The sequence below is a fragment of the Homo sapiens genome, chromosome 7, assembly GCF_000001405.40.
Source record: "Homo sapiens chromosome 7, GRCh38.p14 Primary Assembly".
Taxonomy (NCBI): domain Eukaryota; kingdom Metazoa; phylum Chordata; class Mammalia; order Primates; family Hominidae; genus Homo; species Homo sapiens.
In genome coordinates, this window is record NC_000007.14 from 142778284 (window position 1) to 142798104 (window position 19821).

The following is a 19821-nucleotide window of genomic DNA, read 5'->3' on the forward strand; positions in this document are numbered from 1 at the left end:
TGCCTGTCCTAGGCAGAGACGCAGCAACATTCTCTTAAACTGAAATTAAGCATAAATCCACTTCACCGATAATCATCTGAGGGCTCAGTCCCTGCCTCCTTCCTCGGGGATTTTAAAACACACATTTCTCTGACCAAACAGGTAGGTGAGATCTGACTTTAAAAGGAGGGAAAATCGGGTTGAATTGGGGTATCAGGAATGAATCCCAAGCATTTTTGTGTGGCGAGAGGCATCCACATCCCAAGCTGTACCTGGAGATGGAGAAAAATGCAGGAGAGAAGAAGAGAAAACAAAGGGGGACAACGAGCCCTGGTTGCTTTGCCAAGGTCTTGGGCACAGACAGGGCCGGCTCTGGCTGGGAGCTGCTGCTCTAGGGGTTGGGAGAGTTCTGTTCATCCATGGTGCTCAGCAGCAGGGACTGGGGGCCGTGGTAGGTGCAGATGCCCAGACTCTCAAGCTTGCTCCTTGCATGGCTGGCAGGGGCATTGCTCCTTGTCACCAGGTGACTGCACAGGGCAGCTGTCATGGACATCCAGGGGGCCATCCAGAGCATCACTGATGAGCATGTTGAATGCTTTGGGGCCATCGTCATGTTGGCCCCAGTTGCACACATGGTATCTTCTCTTTGCTTGGGGCGAAGGGGGCGGGGAGGGGCGGGGATAGTCTGCCATGCTCAGAGTTGTAATCATTCAGCAGCTGCTCCATATATTCTAAATCCTTGCACAGGAAGGCTCCTCGGCCCAACTCCCCCAGGCTGGCCACACAGACACTGGGCTCCATTCCCAAGTCTTTGGTGGCTGCTGTGTCAGCTGGTGTCAGAGGCCCCAGGGTCAGCAATGAGTGGGGGTCTTGTGCTGCTTCTGCTAGGCCCAGCCAAGGGGCTGCTCTGTGCCTCCTGGGAGTCCCAGGGTCACTGCCACCTTAAGGGCCACATGCCATAGCTGGAAGTCACTATATGTTTGGGGAAGAGTTGGAGATCGGGAAACCATTCCCTCATAACAAGGTAGTAAATAGTTTGGCAAAAAACTGAAGATAAAGTGGCAGTGCTGAGTAATCATGGGCTTCCTACAGGTGATCGGGTTGATTTCTTGTTGCCACTGCCTGGCCTGAAGACAGTGCTTGGCTCAGCGGTGGCAGCAGACGAAGCAGCAGCTCAAGAGGATGATGATGGTGGCCCACACCAGCCAGAGCCACAGCAGTGTTTTTTGTCACAGGTGTAGCTTGGATTGTTGGTACCACACAGGCTTATCCCATGGGGGTTCACCCTGGGTTGACAGGGGCTGGGCAGCACCTGGAGGACCAGGAACACCACCCACACCCCCACACACACACCACCCAGACCATCTCCTCTGCAAGCCCCTCCTGCTCCTGCTCCTCCATCACAGCACTGCCCTCCTTCTGCTTCCTCTCCTCCTCTGCCCTCCAGAACAGTGGTCTTAAAGAGGTTTCTTGGCCTTGGCACTTCTGTGGGCTCCCAATGTGCTGATGTGTGACACGCTGGCATGCTTGGCAAGACCTCACTGCTGCCTTTGACTACACAGGGTCCTCTCTGTACCCAGAGCAAACATATGCAAGGAAACCCCAGCACTGACCGAATCAGCTTCCTCGGAGGCCCCTCTCCACATGTGCTCCTGCTAACCCAGTCTGTACTCCCCACAAGCTGATGTCCTGCTTGGAGATGATCGTGCTGGCCCTCTTGCCCAACAACTGGCTCCTGTGTCTGGAGGGGAGAAGACAAATCCTTGGTCTCCATCCCTCATGTTCTTGAGAAGTCTGCCTTTTATTCCTCCACAGAATAATACCAACATGTTTACACTATTCCTATGTATAGACATTTTCCCATTTAGTTTTCTCTCCCCTCCGGAGTGGTTATTAATCCAGCGGTACAGATAAGAAAACAGGTTCAAAGAGGCTTATTAGTTTACCCACGTCCCAAGCCCAGCAGATGGTAGGTCTGGGGTTGACTCCTCATTTGCCTGGCTTCAAAGCCCACGCTCTCTGTGCCCCGCCTCACATCCCGCTATGACTGTGGTCTGAGGTGATGACAAGTCCGTCAGCGCTGACCTCTGATGTTTCTCCAGCCCCCTGTCACTATCACCCATTCCCTTCCTCCCTGCATCTCCTGAGGGGCACCTCCCAATTGTCCCATTCCATGCGGCAAGACGACTGCTCTCAGAGAGCTCCTGGTTATGGCATTGCTCCCTACCCTCCCACAGTGATCAAACTAGAATTCAAGCTCCCTGGGGAAATGTAGGGTTCTCCTGGCACCACCCTTGCCCCCACTCCCAGTCTCATGCCTCTTCACTGCTCTCCTCCCCTGTCCCCTCCCCTGCTCAGAAGCCCTGGTGGCCCATCCAACAAGCCATGCGCCTCCTGCCTCTGTCTCTGGACACTATGGCACTCTCAGACTGGAAGCCGTTCCTAACCTCCCCTTCACCCTTTTCAGAAAAGTCTTCCTGATTCTTCCTTGTCCCCACCTCCCTTGGGTCTGGCTCTGCTGGCCCTCCCTCGGGTCTGAGGCAGCCATCCTCCTCCTGTCTCCGCTTGCCTCTGTCCTAGTCCTGCTCAGGTGCTCAGGTGCAATAGATGCGTCCATCCTGGCAATCAACTGTGTGCTCCTCAAGCGGGTACATCTTGTCTTACATATCCTGATATCTCCAGTGATTAAGCAAAGCCTGGGATGTAATAAGCACCCAGTGAGTGGAGGAATAAACATGGAGTGGAGGGAAATGTGCTGAGAAAAGAAAGACCCTTCCAGAAGAATGATTCTCAAAGAGTGGTCCCTAAGCCAGCAACACCAAAATCTCCTGGGAATTTAGGAGAAACACAAAAGCTAGGCCCTACCCCACACCCACCGAGTCAGATCTCCTGGGACAGGGCCCAACAAACAGCATATTTTTTTATTTGAGATAGGGTCTTGCTCTGTTGCCCAGGCTGAAGTGCAATGGCATGATCACTGCTCACTGCAGCCTTGACCTCCCAAGCTCAAGTGATCCTCCCACCTCAGCCTCCCAAGTAGCTAGGACCACAGGCGCACACCACAAACCCAGCTAATATTATTATTATTTGTAGAGATGGCAACCTCATATGTCGCTCAGGCTGGTCTCAAACTCCTAGGCTAAAGTGATCGCCTGCCCCTTTGCCTCCCAAGGTGCTGGGATTACAGGCGTGAGCCACCACACCCAGACAGCAACCTGCATTTTAACATATCTTCCAGGTCTTCTGATGCCCGCTGAAAACTTGAGATTGGATACGGTAATGACATCCTTAGGCCAGTATTGAAACCGCCATTGCAAAATTGTAACTGAGACAGTGAAACAGATCTGACCCAACCAACTCTATCTTGCGGTTTTTTTTGTTTTTGGTTTTGTTTTTTTTTTTTTTTTTTGGAGCCGGAGTCTCAATCTGTTGCCAGGCTGGAGTGCAGTGGCTCGATCTTGGCTCACTGCTACCTCCACCTCCCAGGTTCAAGTGATTCCCCTGCCTCAGCCTCCCCAGTAGCTGGAACTACAGGTGCACACCACCATGCCTGGCTAATTTTTTGTATTTTAGTAGAGGCGGGGTTTCACCATGTTGGCCGGGCTGGTCTCAAACTCCTGACCTCATGATCCACCTGCCTCTGCCTACCAAAGTACTGGGATTATGGGCGTGAACAACCGCGCCTGGCCTCCATCTTGCTTTTAACCTCCAAGCTGTCCTTATTCCTTCCCCAGCATAGGCTGAACTAACTTTGGGAAGAACTTAGTTTCTAGTTTGAAACAAAGACGGTAACAGTCCTTGCCCAAAACAAACCTCCTTTTTGCCTGGAGACTAGACTGTCTTATAGGACTAACAAATTTGCCAAAAGATTAGAAATTATGGTTTAGGAGTCACGTAGCTGGAGTCTGCAAGATTCCAAACCTCCCCAAATTGCTCCTGGGGATAACGTCACTATTGTAAAACCTAAGATCAGTGCTTGAGATATTTTAAAGACCCTGCACTTGATGCATCAGCTGGCACAACGCAGATCGATAAACTAGTTCATCTGATCTTGTGGCCCCCACTCAGGAACCGACTCAGCACAAGAAAGCAGCTGGGGTTTCATCTCCAACCCAACGGATCAGCACTCCCGACTCACTGCTTTCCCCTCCGCCCACCAAATTATCCTCTAAAACTCGGATCCTCGAATTCCCGGGGAGACGGCAAGATTTGATTTGAGTAATAGTAAAACTCCAGTCTCCCACACAGTCTGCTCTGGGTGAATTACTCTTTCTCTATGTCAATTCCCCTGTCTTGATAAATCGGTTCTGTCTATACAGCAGGCAAGGTGAACCTATTGGGCAGTTACGATATCTCTCTGAAAACAAGTCACTATTTTTTGTTTGTTTTTGTTTTTGTTTTGTTTTTGAGACAGAGTCTCTCTCTGTCGCCAGGCTGGAGTGCAATGGTGCGATCTCGGCTCACTGCAACCTCCGCCTCCCGGGTTCAAGCTATTCTCCTGCCTCAGCCTCCCAAGTAGCTGGGATTACAGGCAAGCGCCACCACGCCCGGCTAATTTTTTGTATTTTTAGTAGAGACAGGGTTTCACCATGTTAGCCAGGCTGGTCTCGAACTCCTGACCTCAGGTGATCCACCCGCGTCCGCCTCCCAAAGTGCTGGGATTACAGACGTGAGCCACCGCGCCCGGCTTCAGTCACTAACATTTTTACTGACTCTTCTGGCACCATGATTAACCCCGACACGCACTATCGCATGCAATTCTCACAACCCCATGAGGTAGGTATTATTATTGCTCCTAGCTTACAGATAAAGAGACAGAGTTTAAGAGGTTTAGCCACGCTACGGGGCTGCTGGGAGCCCGGCAGTCTGGCCACAGGAGGTCGGTTTCACGGAAGGGCAGGATGTGGCGGCATCTCCTGAATTTAAGGAGTCTTGGGGGCGCGGTGCTTCTCTGTCATTGGGCAACTCATTTTAGCCTCTTGGGGTTTCAGTTCCTCAACTGAGAACAAGGAATTTAGGTTGAAATGAACATGCTGGAAAGCTTTCAAGAATTGCACACGTGAAATGCTCTTTGCGTGTCTCCCGGTCTCCCACCCGCCCCCGACACAGAGGCGCAGGAGTAACCCTGCTCCCTTCCGCGTCCTCGCCCCACCACGAGCTGCGCATTCTTCTCGCCCCCTCAAGTGGCCGAGCTCAGATTGCAGTTACTTAGGTCTAAAAAAATAAGGAAAGGCTGCCCCCTGCTGCCCACATGGATGCATGACCCCAACCTGATACCTGCCTAACTGGTCTTCCTAGCTTTTATGGAAAAAACGCTGCATATGAGCTTGGGCATACCGTCCAGAGAGGCAAAACTGGGACAAACTCCATCGGAATTCTAAAAAACCATGATGCCAAGACAGAGTGGCATTATTATTTATAAGGCCAGTAGGGATGAGGGCCCCCACTAGGTGATTAAAAGACACTAACTTAGAGGATGAATTATTGATAAGTAAACGAGGTGAGTAAGGCAGGAAAACATGCAGAAATAGATCAAAATAAACTGAATATTTCAATTAGGAAAGGTACTGGCAAGAGGCTTTGACACAATCCAATGGATGAAAGCAATCAACTTTTTTTTTTTTTTTTTTTTGACAGAGTCTCACTCTGTCGCCCAGGCTGGAGTGCAGTGACTCAATCTCGGCTCACTGCAACCTCCACCTCATGGGTTCAAGCGATTCTCCTCCCTCAGCCTCCCGAGTAGCTGGGACTACAGGCGCACACCACCATGCCCGGCTAATTTTTTTGTATTTTTAGTAGAGACAGGGTTTCACCGTGTTAGCCAGGATGGTCTCGAACTCCTGACCTCATGATTCGCCCTCCTCGGCCTCCCAAAGTGCTGAGATTACAGGCGTGAGCCACTGCACCTGGCTGCAATCAACTTTTTATGCAGGCATTTGGTAGCATGTTGCGAGGTCCATCACTATTAATGCCGTGAATATACCAAATCCTCTTTTTCTTTCTTCCCTAAGTTCTAAGGGCCATGCCCTGGCACCAAACTTATGGCAGTCCTAGACTACCCTCTGATGTTCACCATGGCTTACCTCTGCCCTGTTCTAGTTGGGGACAAGCTGTGGGTCCCAAGCCTGGCATTGTAACAGAAACGCCCAGGGTAATTTTCTGTTTGTTTATTTAAATAAATAAATAAGTAAACTCAGTCTTGGAGATTTTAACTCAATAGGTCATGAAGACTACTCAGAAATCTACATTTTTCACAGTTGTCCAAGTGATTAAGTCCTCACTGAGCAAATTCAGGACAAGGAAACAACTTCTTACATAAATTCTACATAACTTCATACATAACTTCACACATAAACTTCTTTGGCAAAAAAAATGACTTTGTAAATTAAACAAGTAGGTTTTTAAAGTAGCATATTTTATTTAAAGCCAAATTTTCTTGATTTTTAAAATTAACTTAAGTTTGACTTTCAATAGACAATAGAGCTATATGACTCTAAAATGGAAACAACCCAGTAACGTTGACACTGGGAAATGTAACTTTTACTTCCGCTCTGTTTCTGTCTACTCCACCCATTCTTTCTTTTCTTTTTTTTTTTTTTTTTTTTTTTTTTTGTTTTGATAGAGTCTCACCGTGTCGCCCAGGCTGGAGTACAGTGGCGTGATCTTGGCTCACTGGAACCTCCGCCTCCTGGGTTCAAGTGATTCTTCTACCTCAGCAGCCTCTCAAGTAGCTGGGATTATAGTCACCTGCCACCACGCCCAGCTAATTTTTTTTTTTTTTTTTTTTTGTACTTTCAGTGAAGATGGGGTTTTGCTGTGTTGGTCAGGCTGGTCTCGAACTCCTGGCCTCAGGTGATCTGCCTGCCTTGGCCTTCCAAAGTGCTGAGATTACAGGGGTGAGCCACCGCACGTGGCCTACTCCACTCATTCTTAATAGGTCATCACTCTTGTCAGTTTCTGTTGTATCTTTACAGTGTTTCTGTATACAAAATGTATACAAAATCAAGTAAATACAAAAGTATAATTCTTCTTTTCCCCCCTCTGTTAGACAAAGGTGGCATCTAGTTATGCTATTCTGAGACTTTCTCTTTTCTGGGTTAATAATGTATCTTAGAGAATTTTCCATAGCAATATAAAATATTTTGATTCTTTTTTTAGCATTGAATATTACTCCATTGTGTGAACATATCACAGTTTATCCAGTCCCTTACTGATGGGCATATAATTCAATTTTGTCAGTCAAATTAGTGAAAAGTGTATTTTGATGAAGTTTTTTTAATTTTATTTTTCTTATTGTGATTTTTTTTCCCTTATAGTTAGGTACCATTTGGATTTATTTTTCTCTGAACAATTTACTCTTCACCTATTTTTATTGGGCTGCTGGATTATTTTCCTATTGATTTTTAGGAGTTCACCACATGTTGAGGAGATTAGCCCTGATGGTGAGAACTAGGAATATTTTTCCCAGATTGTTATGTATATTTTGATTCTGTTTATATTTTACCATGCGAGTGTGTCATCATTATGTCGTTGTTTGTCTTTTTTTTTTTTTTTTCTGGATTTTAAGTCATAGCTTAAAACCCTCCGAGTGACGCACAGCCTCGGGGCAGGGCCAGGGTAGTGATGGGGGCTGTGGCTTCTCTATAAGGACATGCCCCAACGTGACAACAGCTTGGAGAGGGGTGGGTACTGGAGAAGACCAGCCCCTTCGCCAAACAGCCTTACAAAGACATCCAGCTCTAAGGAGCTCAAAACATCCTGAGGACAGTGCCTGGAGGTGAGAAGGAAGCCCCCGGCCTGGTCCATACCCCACCACCAACTTGCATAATGGGGGGTGATGTCACCCACCCTCCACTCCCCTCAAAGGAGCAGCTGCTCTGGTGGTCTCTCCCAGGCTCTGGGGGCGGACCCATGGGAGGGGCTGTTTTTGTACAAAGCTGTAACATTGTGGGGACAGGGGGCCACAATGATTCAACTCTACGGGAAACCTTTACAAAAACCTCTCTGGCGGTCCCAACTCCCAGAGTCCTCTTCTTTCCTCCTGGGTCACAGGTCTTAATGCAATTTGGTTCAGAATGCCTCTGCCTCACTCCTGATCACATGTCAGACCAAGACTGTGGACAAGGACAGGCCCAGATGAGAACTAAAGCTTCCCAGGCAGAGAGAGGTCAGACATAAGAAGACTGCCTCAGGAACCTCACAAGTGGAGGACTCAGGGAGGGTCCCAATCCCCAAAAATTGAGACAAAGTCAGGTGGAAGGTTCATCGGAGGTGACCAGCTCTCCAGAGGACTCGGGAAGAAGTCAGGGGTATCTATAGATGGAGTCACAGGTTCTGGGCCCCTGCCATCCTCTGCAGGCCATGCACTTTCCCTTTCGATGGACCCTCACAGAGGGAGCATCTGAATGGGGCATCCTTTGAAAAAGGAACCTAGGACCCTGTGGATGGACTCTGTCATTCTCCATGGTCCTAAAAAGCAAAAGTCAAAGTGTTCTTCTGTGTAATACCCATAAAGCACAGGAGGAGATTTCTTAGCTCACTGTCCTCCATCCTAGCCAGGGCCCTCTCCCCTCTCTATGCCTTCAATGTGATTTTCACCTTGACCCCTGTCACTGTGTGAACACTGAAGCTTTCTTTGGACAAGGCACCAGACTCACAGTTGTAGGTAAGACATTTTTCAGGTTCTTTTGCAGATCCGTCACAGGGAAAAGTGGGTCCACAGTGTCCCTTTTAGAGTGGCTATATTCTTATGTGCTAACTATGGCTACACCTTCGGTTCGGGGACCAGGTTAACCGTTGTAGGTAAGGCTGGGGGTCTCTAGGAGGGGTGCGATGAGGGAGGACTCTGTCCTGGGAAATGTCAAAGAGAACAGAGATCCCAGCTCCCGGAGCCAGACTGAGGGAGACGTCATGTCATGTCCCGGGATTGAGTTCAGGGGAGGCTCCCTGTGAGGGCGAATCCACCCAGGCTTCCCAGAGGCTCTGAGCAGTCACAGCTGAGCCCAGGGTGATGGGGCAGAAGAGGGAAGGGGAGGGGGCCTCTCCTCATAGTTCCCTGAGATAGCCCAGAGAAAGCCCGGTGGGTAATGAATGAGCCACAACACCTCTCCATCTATCTGCTTCACTGACAGAGGTTCTCTGTAGATTCTTCGTATATTCCTGTGCTGGATTTTATAGGAGGCCACTCTGTGTCTCTTTTTGTCACCTGCCTGAGTCTTGGGCAAGCTCTGGAAGGGAACACAGAGTACTGGAAGCAGAGCTGCTGTCCCTGTGAGGGAAGAGTTCCCATGAACTCCCAACCTCTGCCTGAATCCCAGCTGTGCTCAGCAGAGACTGGGGGGTTTTGAAGTGGCCCTGGGAGGCTGTGCTCTGGAAACACCATATATTTTGGAGAGGGAAGTTGGCTCACTGTTGTAGGTGAGTAAGTCAAGGCTGGACAGCTGGGAACTTGCAAAAAGGGGCTGGAATCCAGACGGAGCCTTTGTCTCTAGTGCTTAGGTGAAAGTGTATTTTTGTCAGGAAGGCCTATGAGGCAGATGAGGAGGGGATAGCCTCCCTCTCCTCTCCACTATTTTGTAGACTGCCTGTGCCAAGTTAGGTTCCCCTACTGAGAGATGGGTAGACTCAGCTTGGAAGGGGTCACCTTGAACATCTCCTGTCTCCTTGAAGGGTGCCGGTCACGGCCATGACAGATAAAAGAGCCTCTGACCTTACCACCACGGTCCTACCGTTTCTCTCCCTCACACAGAAAGGAGAAGGTCACAGAAGAGGGAACTTGGGGGATCACACGGGGCCTAATTGGTCTGCTGACCACCGCATTTTGGGTTGTACCATTGTCTACCCCTCTACCCACCAGGGTTAAAATTCTACTAAGGAACAGGAGAGGACCTGGCAGGTGGACTTGGGGAGGCAGGAGTGGAAGGCAGCAGGTCGCGGTTTTCCTTCCAGTCTTTAATGTTGTGCAACTAATGAAAAACTGTTTTTTGGCAGTGGAACCCAGCTCTCTGTCTTGGGTATGTAAAAGACTTCTTTCGGGATAGTGTATCATAAGGTCGGAGTTCCAGGAGGACCCCTTGCGGGAGGGCAGAAACTGAGAACACAGCCAAGAAAAGCTCATAAAATGTGGGTCAGTGGAGTGTGTGGTGGGGCCCCAAGAGTTCTGTGTGTAAGCAGCTTCTGGAAGGAAGGGCCCACACCAGCTCCTCTGGGGTTTGCCACACTCATGATGCACTGTGTAGCAATCAGCCCCAGCATTTTGGTGATGGGACTCGACTCTCCATCCTAGGTAAGTTGCAGAATCAGGGTGGTATGGCCATTGTCCCTTGAAGGCAGAGTTCTCTGCTTCTCCTCCCGGTGCTGGTGAGGCAGATTGAGTAAAATCTCTTACCCCATGGGGTAAGAGCTGTGCCTGTGCCTGCGTTCCCTTTGGTGTGTCTTGGTTGACTCCTCTATTTCTCTTCTCTAAGTCTTCAGTCCATAATCTGCCTCCTCACTCCCTTCTTGGCTCATCCTCCCTCTTATGTGCATGGCTCTGCCTCTCCTAAGCCTCTTCCTCTTGCGCCTTATGCTGCACAGTATGCTTAGGCCTTTTTCCTAACAGAATCCCTTTGGTCCAGAGCCATGAATCCAGGCAGAGAAAGGCAGCCATCCTGCTGTCAGGGAGCTAAGACTTGCCCTCTGACTGGAGATCGCCGGGTGGGTTTTATCTAAGCCTCTGCAGCTGTGCTCCTATAATTCACCCCTCCACTTTGGGAATGGGACCAGGCTCACTGTGACAGGTATGGGGGCTCCACTCTTGACTCGGGGGTGCCTGGGTTTGACTGCAATGATCAGTTGCTGGGAAGGGAATTGAGTGTAAGAACGGAGGTCAGGGTCACCCCTTCTTACCTGGAGCACTGTGCCCTCTCCTCCCCTCCCTGGAGCTCTTCCAGCTTGTTGCTCTGCTGTGTTGCCTGCAGTTCCTCAGCTGTAGAGCTCCTTGCTTAGTCTTCAGGGCTGTGTGTTTCTTTGCTCTTCTTTTCATTGTTTTCTGGGACTCTTCTCATCTCTACTTTCTTAGTGGATGTATTGTTTTACTTTCCCTTTTTTAAATTGCATCTTCTCCATTTTTTCCTTCCCATTCTAACTCCACTTCTGCATTGTTGACTCCTTTTGGTGACTAGCTCTGTCTTCTATGTTAAGATTCTCCCCACTGCCAGCCTCCAGCACAGAACTCTGCTCATGTCTTCATCTCCCTCCTTCTTTCTTTCTCTACCAGTCTTAGAAGATGCATCTATGTCTTCCTGAGGTAGTTTGAAGGTTCATGAGCCAGGCATGACCAGGTTGGGGAGACAGGTGGTTTCAGGGTTGCTCTTGAGGCCTGAGGGCAGAAGTCCCTGTCACAGCATTGGGCGAGCTGCAGGGAGTCTCTGAGGTGCCTGTGTTTGGCAGGTGTTTGGGAGATAGGTCTGAAGAGAGTGTTACAACTGGAAACTGACATTATCTTAGCAACAGATAAGGTATAAAGAAGACAAAATGGGTAGGAGACTCTATTTTCTTTTTTTCTGAGACGGTGTCTAGCTCTATTGCCCAGGCTGGAGTGCAGTGGCACGATCTCGGCTCACTGCAACCTCCGCCTCCTGGGTTTGAGCGATTCTCCTCCCTTGGCCTCCCGAGTAGCTGGGATTACAGGTGCCTGCCACCAAACCCAGCTACTTTTTGCATTTTTAGTAGAGATAGGGTTTCACTGTGTTAGCCGGGCTGTTCTCAAACTCCTGACCTCGTGATCCGCCTGCCTTGGCCTCCCAAAGTGCTGGGATTACAAATGTGAGCCACTGCACCCAGCCAAGACTCCATTCTCTTAAGCCTCAGAATCTATGCTAGAACAATAGGGTAAAGGCCCCACCAGGAAGCCCTAGTACAACCTTCCCCATGCTGGGGAGGAAGCAGACAGGCGGTGGAGCGGGGTTGGGATGGGATGAGGTCTAGGATGGAGACATAGACAAGGGTGGAGGAATGGGACTCATAGGGTCTACCAAAGTTTAGGGGCTTGGGCAGACATTAGTGTAGGTGGGGACACACACCAAGACGTTGAGTGGAAAGTACAAATCACCAGATTCAAAGGCCTGGGTTCAAGGGGCTGTGGTGGGGGAGGTGTGCAATTTGAAAAGCAACTTAAGCTGCCTCCTCTCTAAGACATAGAAACAGAAGAGACTAACTTATATGAAAATCCTTTGTAAAGGATTTTGTAAAGGACTCAACTTGTGGTGACAATCCTTTTCATTCCTGTTGTTTATGATCACTAGGTCACAGGGTTTGCCTTTTTCCAAACCTGCATCTCAATTTTCCCATCAAAAACATTTCCCAAATTTGGATAAAGAACCCATATCTAGACTTGCCACATTTCTGCACCAAAAGCTCACTCTCATGGTTGGAACAGAGCCAAGCAAAGGGCACAGTAAATTGTGGTTTCTTCCACTCCTCATGTGTCTTCAGATGAAATCATTCTTTCCAATAATCCCAGAAATTCTTTCTCTCCTCTCTCAAGCATGTGAAAAGGTCCAGAGCTCTGCAGTGTGAGCTTTCTACTGAAATGGCCCTTGGACTTTGTGGTTCATTCATACTCAGTGGTCTAGCTTGTACTACTTTTGAGAATGCAAAGCTTAACTGTGGACGGATTCCAATCCTGGCCAGGCAGGGTTGCTGGACACTCTGAGAGAAGAAAGGGTTAATCCCATGACCATCAACTTCCATGGGATTTCAGCCATCCTGGACAAGCTACCACACCCTCCTGCCCCAGGGGAGGAGGAAATGTGGACCATCCCATCAGATATTGACCAGGTTTGGCTCTTTAAAGAGGGTTACATGCAAGAAAATAAAATTTTTTAAAAAGGTGCTGGGCAGGTGGGGGACTCAGATGTAATGGAAAAGTGTCTTTTCTAGAAAAGAAAAGCTAATTCTAATATGTGTCACTACCCCACGAGACAAATATATACATCTTGATTTAAAAAAGGAAAATTATAATTAGAAAAAGTCAATTTAGTTATTGTAATTATACCACTAATGAGAGTTTCCTACCTCGAGTTTCAGGATTACATAGCCATGCACCAAGCAAGGCTTTGAAAAATAAAGATACACAGATAAATTATTTGGATAGATGATCAGACAAGCCTCAGTAAAAACAGCCAAGACAATCAGGATATAATGTGACCATAGGAAGCTGGGGAGACAGTAGGCAATGTGCATCCATGGGACAGCATAGAAAGGAGGGGCAAAGTGGAGAGAGAGCAACAGACACTGGGATGGTGACCCCAAAACAATGAGGGCCTAGAATGACATAGTTGTGCTTCATTACGGCCCATTCCCAGGGCTCTCTCTCACACACACAGAGCCCCTACCAGAACCAGACAGCTCTCAGAGCAACCCTGGCTCCAACCCCTCTTCCCTTTCCAGAGGACCTGAACAAGGTGTTCCCACCCGAGGTCGCTGTGTTTGAGCCATCAGAAGCAGAGATCTCCCACACCCAAAAGGCCACACTGGTGTGCCTGGCCACAGGCTTCTTCCCTGACCACGTGGAGCTGAGCTGGTGGGTGAATGGGAAGGAGGTGCACAGTGGGGTCAGCACGGACCCGCAGCCCCTCAAGGAGCAGCCCGCCCTCAATGACTCCAGATACTGCCTGAGCAGCCGCCTGAGGGTCTCGGCCACCTTCTGGCAGAACCCCCGCAACCACTTCCGCTGTCAAGTCCAGTTCTACGGGCTCTCGGAGAATGACGAGTGGACCCAGGATAGGGCCAAACCCGTCACCCAGATCGTCAGCGCCGAGGCCTGGGGTAGAGCAGGTGAGTGGGGCCTGGGGAGATGCCTGGAGGAGATTAGGTGAGACCAGCTACCAGGGAAAATGGAAAGATCCAGGTAGCAGACAAGACTAGATCCAAAAAGAAAGGAACCAGCGCACACCATGAAGGAGAATTGGGCACCTGTGGTTCATTCTTCTCCCAGATTCTCAGCCCAACAGAGCCAAGCAGCTGGGTCCCCTTTCTATGTGGCCTGTGTAACTCTCATCTGGGTGGTGCCCCCCAGCCCCCTCAGTGCTGCCACATGCCATGGATTGCAAGGACAATGTGGCTGACATCTGCATGGCAGAAGAAAGGAGGTGCTGGGCTGTCAGAGGAAGCTGGTCTGGGCCTGGGAGTCTGTGCCAACTGCAAATCTGACTTTACTTTTAATTGCCTATGAAAATAAGGTCTCTCATTTATTTTCCTCTCCCTGCTTTCTTTCAGACTGTGGCTTTACCTCGGGTAAGTAAGCCCTTCCTTTTCCTCTCCCTCTCTCATGGTTCTTGACCTAGAACCAAGGCATGAAGAACTCACAGACACTGGAGGGTGGAGGGTGGGAGAGACCAGAGCTACCTGTGCACAGGTACCCACCTGTCCTTCCTCCGTGCCAACAGTGTCCTACCAGCAAGGGGTCCTGTCTGCCACCATCCTCTATGAGATCCTGCTAGGGAAGGCCACCCTGTATGCTGTGCTGGTCAGCGCCCTTGTGTTGATGGCCATGGTAAGCAGGAGGGCAGGATGGGGCCAGCAGGCTGGAGGTGACACACTGACACCAAGCACCCAGAAGTATAGAGTCCCTGCCAGGATTGGAGCTGGGCAGTAGGGAGGGAAGAGATTTCATTCAGGTGCCTCAGAAGATAACTTGCACCTCTGTAGGATCACAGTGGAAGGGTCATGCTGGGAAGGAGAAGCTGGAGTCACCAGAAAACCCAATGGATGTTGTGATGAGCCTTACTATTTGTGTGGTCAATGGGCCCTACTACTTTCTCTCAATCCTCACAACTCCTGGCTCTTAATAACCCCCAAAACTTTCTCTTCTGCAGGTCAAGAGAAAGGATTTCTGAAGGCAGCCCTGGAAGTGGAGTTAGGAGCTTCTAACCCGTCATGGTTTCAATACACATTCTTCTTTTGCCAGCGCTTCTGAAGAGCTGCTCTCACCTCTCTGCATCCCAATAGATATCCCCCTATGTGCATGCACACCTGCACACTCACGGCTGAAATCTCCCTAACCCAGGGGGACCTTAGCATGCCTAAGTGACTAAACCAATAAAAATGTTCTGGTCTGGCCTGACTCTGACTTGTGAATGTCTGGATAGCTCCTTGGCTGTCTCTGAACTCCCTGTGACTCTCCCCATTCAGTCAGGATAGAAACAAGAGGTATTCAAGGAAAATGCAGACTCTTCACGTAAGAGGGATGAGGGGCCCACCTTGAGATCAATAGCAGAGGTTAATTCAGCGTGAAAGGCAGTGATGGGAGCTGAAGAGGTTACTTCTAGAACAGTCTAGGAAGACACAGATGTTGAGTATAGGAATTTTCTATATCCAACTATACTGTTCTGCCCAGGAAAGACGTGCTCAGAGGAAGAGCCAACCTATACAGGTGTGTTCACCCTCCAGCTGGCCATGTCCCCGTGACTAACAAAGCTGGATTCCATAAGCATCACCCACCTTCCTTGCAGCTTTCTTATTGAGCACTCCATTCATCTTCATTGGTTCACCAAGTTGATTTCCCAGCTCCAAAGAAGAGAGGCTCTGACTTGCAAACTTATTTTCAATGGAAGATGTGTCTTCCGGTTTAAGTTACCCATCTGTTTATAAATCTCTCTCTAGTGAATTAAACCAGAATGAAAATGTCCCCTAATCATTCCTGGAAGGTTAGAAAATAAAGGTATCTAAAACTGAGAATCAGCCCCATTCCTACTTCTAGAATTCCTTCAAAAGCTCCTTCTGTTGTCTCACTGTCACCATGGTGATGGAGTCCCAAATCCCAAAGGTGGCACAGAAGACCGGATGATTATCCTTGTCTCCTTCCACACTCTCCTCACTTCTCTCATCCCTGAAGCCCCTGAGCTGCTTCTTTCAGGCCGCTTTGCACATGCTCTTCCTCCTGGGGTGACAAAGTACTCTTCTCCCCATGATAACTCCTGCTTAGACTTAAAGATTTAGCTCCAATGTCTTCCCCTCCAAAAAGCTTTCTCTGGCCCTTTCTTGCCTCTTCCTTACCTCTTCCTCCCTTGAGGCTGGATTAAATACACCTTTATTTTGCTATCACAGTGCCTTGTGCATAACCTTCTTTGTGATACATCACACTTGCTGGAAACTACCTCTTTATTTGTCTGACACCCCCAGGGACTATGAACTCCTTGTTAACAAGGATACATTTTAAGATAGTATCCCAGGGCTATAGTATAGTAACCTCAGTTTAGTGTAGACACCACATAGGTATGTATGAATAAATAAATGAATAAATGAGTGAACCCAAACTGACCCAATCCAGGAGCAATCATCACCGTAAGTCCTGCCTGAAATAGCCATTACCCTTCCATTTATAGGACTACACCACACAGTCTTCCCTCTTTATTGCAACACATACATGCATTCAAAGATGCGTGTGTGCATGTATGCACACGCGTGTATATGTTTATATTTACACACATGTACACACATCCACTCATTAAACACATATCCCTGTGATGTGTTGTTATCAACTTCCAAGAAAATTAAGATACCCAAATTACAGTCCCCAAGAAGCGTATCTGTTCACAGAGCAACTCAATCATGAACAGAAAGAGCCAAACGCAAGTCCATGCTTTGAAAGAGCAACATGAACTGCTTACTAAAATGCAGTCAGAGAGTGGCCCTCAATTTCTCACTGGGATAATCAGTAAAGAGTCTGAGAAGGTGGCAATCTCTTCAAAGGAAGAATTGGTCTCAGTTGTTCACTCTAGAGAATGGCCATGCTGGTCAGAGGCATGAACAAAAGCCCTAATGACATGGCTAGGTACCTCTGGGTAGGCCCGTTTAGCTGGTTGCAAGGTTCAGAAATGGGAGTGCTCAAAATTAGCGCTGGAAAGGCAGGTTGGTGCATGCCACTCTGGGAATAAACTTACCTCCATGCAACCAGCATGGAGCCTGCACATGGTGGATGTTCACTAAACACCTGTGGAGTAAATGAAGAATATGGAGTTCAGACATCGTTCAGGAAGCAACTGAACAAAGGGAAATTATAGAGGTTTCTGGATTGTTTGTCCTCCTGTCATAAGGTGCCATCAACTGCTCTGTGGATTTTCCTATGAGCTGCCTGCCACCCCTCGCTCCTCCCACCCACTTCACTATAAATGCCAGTCTGAGCAGGTGGGCACAGTGAGCCCCACCAGGGAGACCCAGTGACATAGATGGTCTGCTCAGGGTGATGCATGTTCCAAGGAGGGACCTCTCTGCCCCCCACCATTACCATCACTGTGACTTTCCCCAAGCCCTTCCCATTTTAATTCACTGCCTTTGTCTTTTCCAAGCCCCACACAGTCAGACTAACCTCTGCCACCTGCGCTTCCTGCCGCTGCCCAGTGGTTGGGGGAGGGGGACTAGCAGGGAGGAAACATTTTTGTATCATGGTGTAACATTGTGGGGACTAGCGGGAGGGCACGATGATTCAGGTAGAGGAGGTGCTTTTACAAAAAACCCTGATGCAGTAAGCATCCCCACCCAGCTCAGGGAATGCAGCTACCAGGTGGGAAGAGTTCTCTGGGGCTGGTCCCAGCTGTGGTCTTGCAGGGTCCCCCAACCCAGCGAGCACCTGTCCATCTCCCTGTCCAGACTCGGCTTCCAAGGAATAAGAAGGCCAAGACAGCAAAGTGGGATTATCACTCAGCACTTTTAATAAAACTTGTTCTTGACAAAGTACTTGCACATGCATTATTTATTAAGAACTGATGAAAACCCTGAGGGAAAGATATTGTCCCATCTTTCCAATGAGGAAACTGAGATCAGAGGTTACAGGTCATATAACTAGGAAACGGCAAGGTCTAGCCTGCAATATCGCCCAGCTCCAGCCGTTCCAGTACCACCAATGCCCCTTCAGATTTCAAATCCACTGTGTTGTCCCCCAGCCAAGTGGATTCTCCTCTGCAAATTGGTGGTGGCCTCATGCAAGATCCAGGTTACCGTGTCCAGCTAACTCGAGACAGGAAAAGATAGGCTCAGGAAAGAGAGGAAGGGTGTGCCCTCTGTCTGTGCTAAGGGAGGTGGGGAAGGAGAAGGAATTCTGGGCAGCCCCTTCCCACTGTGCTCCTACAATGAGCAGTTCTTCGGGCCAGGGACACGGCTCACCGTGCTAGGTAAGAAGGGGGCTCCAGGTGGGAGAGAGGGTGAGCAGCCCAGCCTGCACGACCCCAGAACCCTGTTCTTAGGGGAGTGGACACTGGGCAATCCAGGGCCCTCCTCGAGGGAAGCGGGGTTTGCGCCAGGGTCCCCAGGGCTGTGCGAACACCGGGGAGCTGTTTTTTGGAGAAGGCTCTAGGCTGACCGTACTGGGTAAGGAGGCGGTTGGGGCTCCGGAGAGCTCCGAGAGGGCGGGATGGGCAGAGGTAAGCAGCTGCCCCACTCTGAGAGGGGCTGTGCTGAGAGGCGCTGCTGGGCGTCTGGGCGGAGGACTCCTGGTTCTGGGTGCTGGGAGAGCGATGGGGCTCTCAGCGGTGGGAAGGACCCGAGCTGAGTCTGGGACAGCAGAGCGGGCAGCACCGGTTTTTGTCCTGGGCCTCCAGGCTGTGAGCACAGATACGCAGTATTTTGGCCCAGGCACCCGGCTGACAGTGCTCGGTAAGCGGGGGCTCCCGCTGAAGCCCCGGAACTGGGGAGGGGGCGCCCCGGGACGCCGGGGGCGTCGCAGGGCCAGTTTCTGTGCCGCGTCTCGGGGCTGTGAGCCAAAAACATTCAGTACTTCGGCGCCGGGACCCGGCTCTCAGTGCTGGGTAAGCTGGGGCCGCCGGGGGACCGGGGACGAGACTGCGCTCGGGTTTTTGTGCGGGGCTCGGGGGCCGTGACCAAGAGACCCAGTACTTCGGGCCAGGCACGCGGCTCCTGGTGCTCGGTGAGCGCGGGCTGCTGGGGCGCGGGCGCGGGCGGCTTGGGTCTGGTTTTTGCGGGGAGTCCCCGGGCTGTGCTCTGGGGCCAACGTCCTGACTTTCGGGGCCGGCAGCAGGCTGACCGTGCTGGGTGAGTTTTCGCGGGACCACCCGGGCGGCGGGATTCAGGTGGAAGGCGGCGGCTGCTTCGCGGCACCCGGTCCGGCCCTGTGCTGGGAGACCTGGGCTGGGTCCCCAGGGTGGGCAGGAGCTCGGGGAGCCTTAGAGGTTTGCATGCGGGGGTGCACCTCCGTGCTCCTACGAGCAGTACTTCGGGCCGGGCACCAGGCTCACGGTCACAGGTGAGATTCGGGCGTCTCCCCACCTTCCAGCCCCTCGGTCCCCGGAGTCGGAGGGTGGACCGGAGCTGGAGGAGCTGGGTGTCCGGGGTCAGCTCTGCAAGGTCACCTCCCCGCTCCTGGGGAAAGACTGGGGAAGAGGGAGGGGGTGGGGAGGTGCTCAGAGTCCGGAAAGCTGAGCAGAGGGCGAGGCCACTTTTAATCTTTTTTCTGGGGTGTTTAGAGAGAAGGTGAACGATGGAGGAGAGGATTTGTTAGGACTCTGGGAGAGGCGAGACTGGAGAGGACGAAGGGAAATCCTGGTTTGGGGAATGGGTAGGAGTGGGGGTAACTGCTATTCGTAGGCAAAAAGAGCTGAGCAGGCTGGGAACAGCGCGGGTGGGCAAGGGTCAGCACTGCGGGCAGGCGGGTGGGTGTTAGGGGGCAGAAATCCTGCAGCCGAGGGTGCAGTAGAACACAGAAGAAAAAGCCTGCCAAACAAAAGTGGAACAGAGAAGCCAAAAAGGGAGATGAACATGAGTCAGTGAAGAAAAGAATGAAAGTTTACTGTTTAGCAGTGTGGATCTCTAATCCGACTTAAAACTCCTTGTTCCCGATTCCTATTC

At 50.3% G+C, this 19821-nt stretch overlaps 1 long non-coding RNA gene, 2 pseudogenes, 16 gene segments (V, D, J or C) and 1 further gene, besides 52 other annotated features; 18 read left to right on the forward strand and 2 right to left on the reverse strand.

The window, feature by feature from the left end:
* Positions 1-19821, forward strand: part of TRB (T cell receptor beta locus) — a 514277-nt gene that overhangs the window by 479273 nt on the left and 15183 nt on the right.
* Positions 359-1254, reverse strand: WBP1LP1 (WBP1L pseudogene 1; annotated as a pseudogene).
* Positions 7902-7910: a recombination feature (5'D_nonamer).
* Positions 7911-7922: a recombination feature (5'D_spacer).
* Positions 7923-7929: a recombination feature (5'D_heptamer).
* TRBD1 (T cell receptor beta diversity 1) lies at positions 7930-7941 on the forward strand. The segment is given in 1 exon segment: positions 7930-7941. A coding segment is annotated over 1 exon segment (12 nt), but the record flags the coding sequence as incomplete, so codon positions are not given.
* Positions 7942-7948: a recombination feature (3'D_heptamer).
* Positions 7949-7971: a recombination feature (3'D_spacer).
* Positions 7972-7980: a recombination feature (3'D_nonamer).
* Positions 8569-8577: a recombination feature (J_nonamer).
* Positions 8578-8589: a recombination feature (J_spacer).
* Positions 8590-8596: a recombination feature (J_heptamer).
* Positions 8597-8644, forward strand: TRBJ1-1 (T cell receptor beta joining 1-1). The segment is given in 1 exon segment: positions 8597-8644. A coding segment is annotated over 1 exon segment (48 nt), but the record flags the coding sequence as incomplete, so codon positions are not given.
* Positions 8706-8714: a recombination feature (J_nonamer).
* Positions 8715-8726: a recombination feature (J_spacer).
* Positions 8727-8733: a recombination feature (J_heptamer).
* Positions 8734-8781, forward strand: TRBJ1-2 (T cell receptor beta joining 1-2). The segment is given in 1 exon segment: positions 8734-8781. A coding segment is annotated over 1 exon segment (48 nt), but the record flags the coding sequence as incomplete, so codon positions are not given.
* Positions 9319-9327: a recombination feature (J_nonamer).
* Positions 9328-9339: a recombination feature (J_spacer).
* Positions 9340-9346: a recombination feature (J_heptamer).
* On the forward strand, positions 9347-9396 carry TRBJ1-3 (T cell receptor beta joining 1-3). The segment is given in 1 exon segment: positions 9347-9396. A coding segment is annotated over 1 exon segment (50 nt), but the record flags the coding sequence as incomplete, so codon positions are not given.
* Positions 9914-9922: a recombination feature (J_nonamer).
* Positions 9923-9934: a recombination feature (J_spacer).
* Positions 9935-9941: a recombination feature (J_heptamer).
* On the forward strand, positions 9942-9992 carry TRBJ1-4 (T cell receptor beta joining 1-4). The segment is given in 1 exon segment: positions 9942-9992. A coding segment is annotated over 1 exon segment (51 nt), but the record flags the coding sequence as incomplete, so codon positions are not given.
* Positions 10187-10195: a recombination feature (J_nonamer).
* Positions 10196-10207: a recombination feature (J_spacer).
* Positions 10208-10214: a recombination feature (J_heptamer).
* On the forward strand, positions 10215-10264 carry TRBJ1-5 (T cell receptor beta joining 1-5). The segment is given in 1 exon segment: positions 10215-10264. A coding segment is annotated over 1 exon segment (50 nt), but the record flags the coding sequence as incomplete, so codon positions are not given.
* Positions 10677-10685: a recombination feature (J_nonamer).
* Positions 10686-10697: a recombination feature (J_spacer).
* Positions 10698-10704: a recombination feature (J_heptamer).
* TRBJ1-6 (T cell receptor beta joining 1-6) lies at positions 10705-10757 on the forward strand. The segment is given in 1 exon segment: positions 10705-10757. A coding segment is annotated over 1 exon segment (53 nt), but the record flags the coding sequence as incomplete, so codon positions are not given.
* TRBC1 (T cell receptor beta constant 1) lies at positions 13411-14858 on the forward strand. The segment is given in 4 exon segments: positions 13411-13797; positions 14239-14256; positions 14409-14515; positions 14838-14858. Coding segments are annotated over 4 exon segments (533 nt in total), but the record flags the coding sequence as incomplete, so codon positions are not given.
* Positions 17394-17402: a recombination feature (5'D_nonamer).
* Positions 17403-17414: a recombination feature (5'D_spacer).
* Positions 17415-17421: a recombination feature (5'D_heptamer).
* On the forward strand, positions 17422-17437 carry TRBD2 (T cell receptor beta diversity 2). The segment is given in 1 exon segment: positions 17422-17437. A coding segment is annotated over 1 exon segment (16 nt), but the record flags the coding sequence as incomplete, so codon positions are not given.
* Positions 17438-17444: a recombination feature (3'D_heptamer).
* Positions 17445-17467: a recombination feature (3'D_spacer).
* Positions 17468-17476: a recombination feature (3'D_nonamer).
* LOC124901762 (uncharacterized) lies at positions 17699-18408 on the reverse strand. Its single transcript, XR_007060565.1, has 2 exons — positions 18325-18408; positions 17699-17967 (listed from the first exon to the last, which is right to left on the reverse strand). It is a non-coding gene; the product is annotated as an uncharacterized LOC124901762 (long non-coding RNA).
* Positions 18054-18062: a recombination feature (J_nonamer).
* Positions 18063-18074: a recombination feature (J_spacer).
* Positions 18075-18081: a recombination feature (J_heptamer).
* Positions 18082-18131, forward strand: TRBJ2-1 (T cell receptor beta joining 2-1). The segment is given in 1 exon segment: positions 18082-18131. A coding segment is annotated over 1 exon segment (50 nt), but the record flags the coding sequence as incomplete, so codon positions are not given.
* Positions 18249-18257: a recombination feature (J_nonamer).
* Positions 18258-18269: a recombination feature (J_spacer).
* Positions 18270-18276: a recombination feature (J_heptamer).
* TRBJ2-2 (T cell receptor beta joining 2-2) lies at positions 18277-18327 on the forward strand. The segment is given in 1 exon segment: positions 18277-18327. A coding segment is annotated over 1 exon segment (51 nt), but the record flags the coding sequence as incomplete, so codon positions are not given.
* Positions 18407-18413: a recombination feature (J_heptamer).
* On the forward strand, positions 18414-18459 carry TRBJ2-2P (T cell receptor beta joining 2-2P (non-functional); annotated as a pseudogene). The gene is given in 1 exon segment: positions 18414-18459. A coding segment is annotated over 1 exon segment (46 nt).
* Positions 18536-18544: a recombination feature (J_nonamer).
* Positions 18545-18556: a recombination feature (J_spacer).
* Positions 18557-18563: a recombination feature (J_heptamer).
* Positions 18564-18612, forward strand: TRBJ2-3 (T cell receptor beta joining 2-3). The segment is given in 1 exon segment: positions 18564-18612. A coding segment is annotated over 1 exon segment (49 nt), but the record flags the coding sequence as incomplete, so codon positions are not given.
* Positions 18687-18693: a recombination feature (J_nonamer).
* Positions 18694-18707: a recombination feature (J_spacer).
* Positions 18708-18714: a recombination feature (J_heptamer).
* On the forward strand, positions 18715-18764 carry TRBJ2-4 (T cell receptor beta joining 2-4). The segment is given in 1 exon segment: positions 18715-18764. A coding segment is annotated over 1 exon segment (50 nt), but the record flags the coding sequence as incomplete, so codon positions are not given.
* Positions 18808-18816: a recombination feature (RSS_nonamer).
* Positions 18817-18828: a recombination feature (RSS_spacer).
* Positions 18829-18835: a recombination feature (RSS_heptamer).
* Positions 18836-18883, forward strand: TRBJ2-5 (T cell receptor beta joining 2-5). The segment is given in 1 exon segment: positions 18836-18883. A coding segment is annotated over 1 exon segment (48 nt), but the record flags the coding sequence as incomplete, so codon positions are not given.
* Positions 18928-18936: a recombination feature (J_nonamer).
* Positions 18937-18948: a recombination feature (J_spacer).
* Positions 18949-18955: a recombination feature (J_heptamer).
* Positions 18956-19008, forward strand: TRBJ2-6 (T cell receptor beta joining 2-6). The segment is given in 1 exon segment: positions 18956-19008. A coding segment is annotated over 1 exon segment (53 nt), but the record flags the coding sequence as incomplete, so codon positions are not given.
* Positions 19145-19153: a recombination feature (J_nonamer).
* Positions 19154-19165: a recombination feature (J_spacer).
* Positions 19166-19172: a recombination feature (J_heptamer).
* On the forward strand, positions 19173-19219 carry TRBJ2-7 (T cell receptor beta joining 2-7). The segment is given in 1 exon segment: positions 19173-19219. A coding segment is annotated over 1 exon segment (47 nt), but the record flags the coding sequence as incomplete, so codon positions are not given.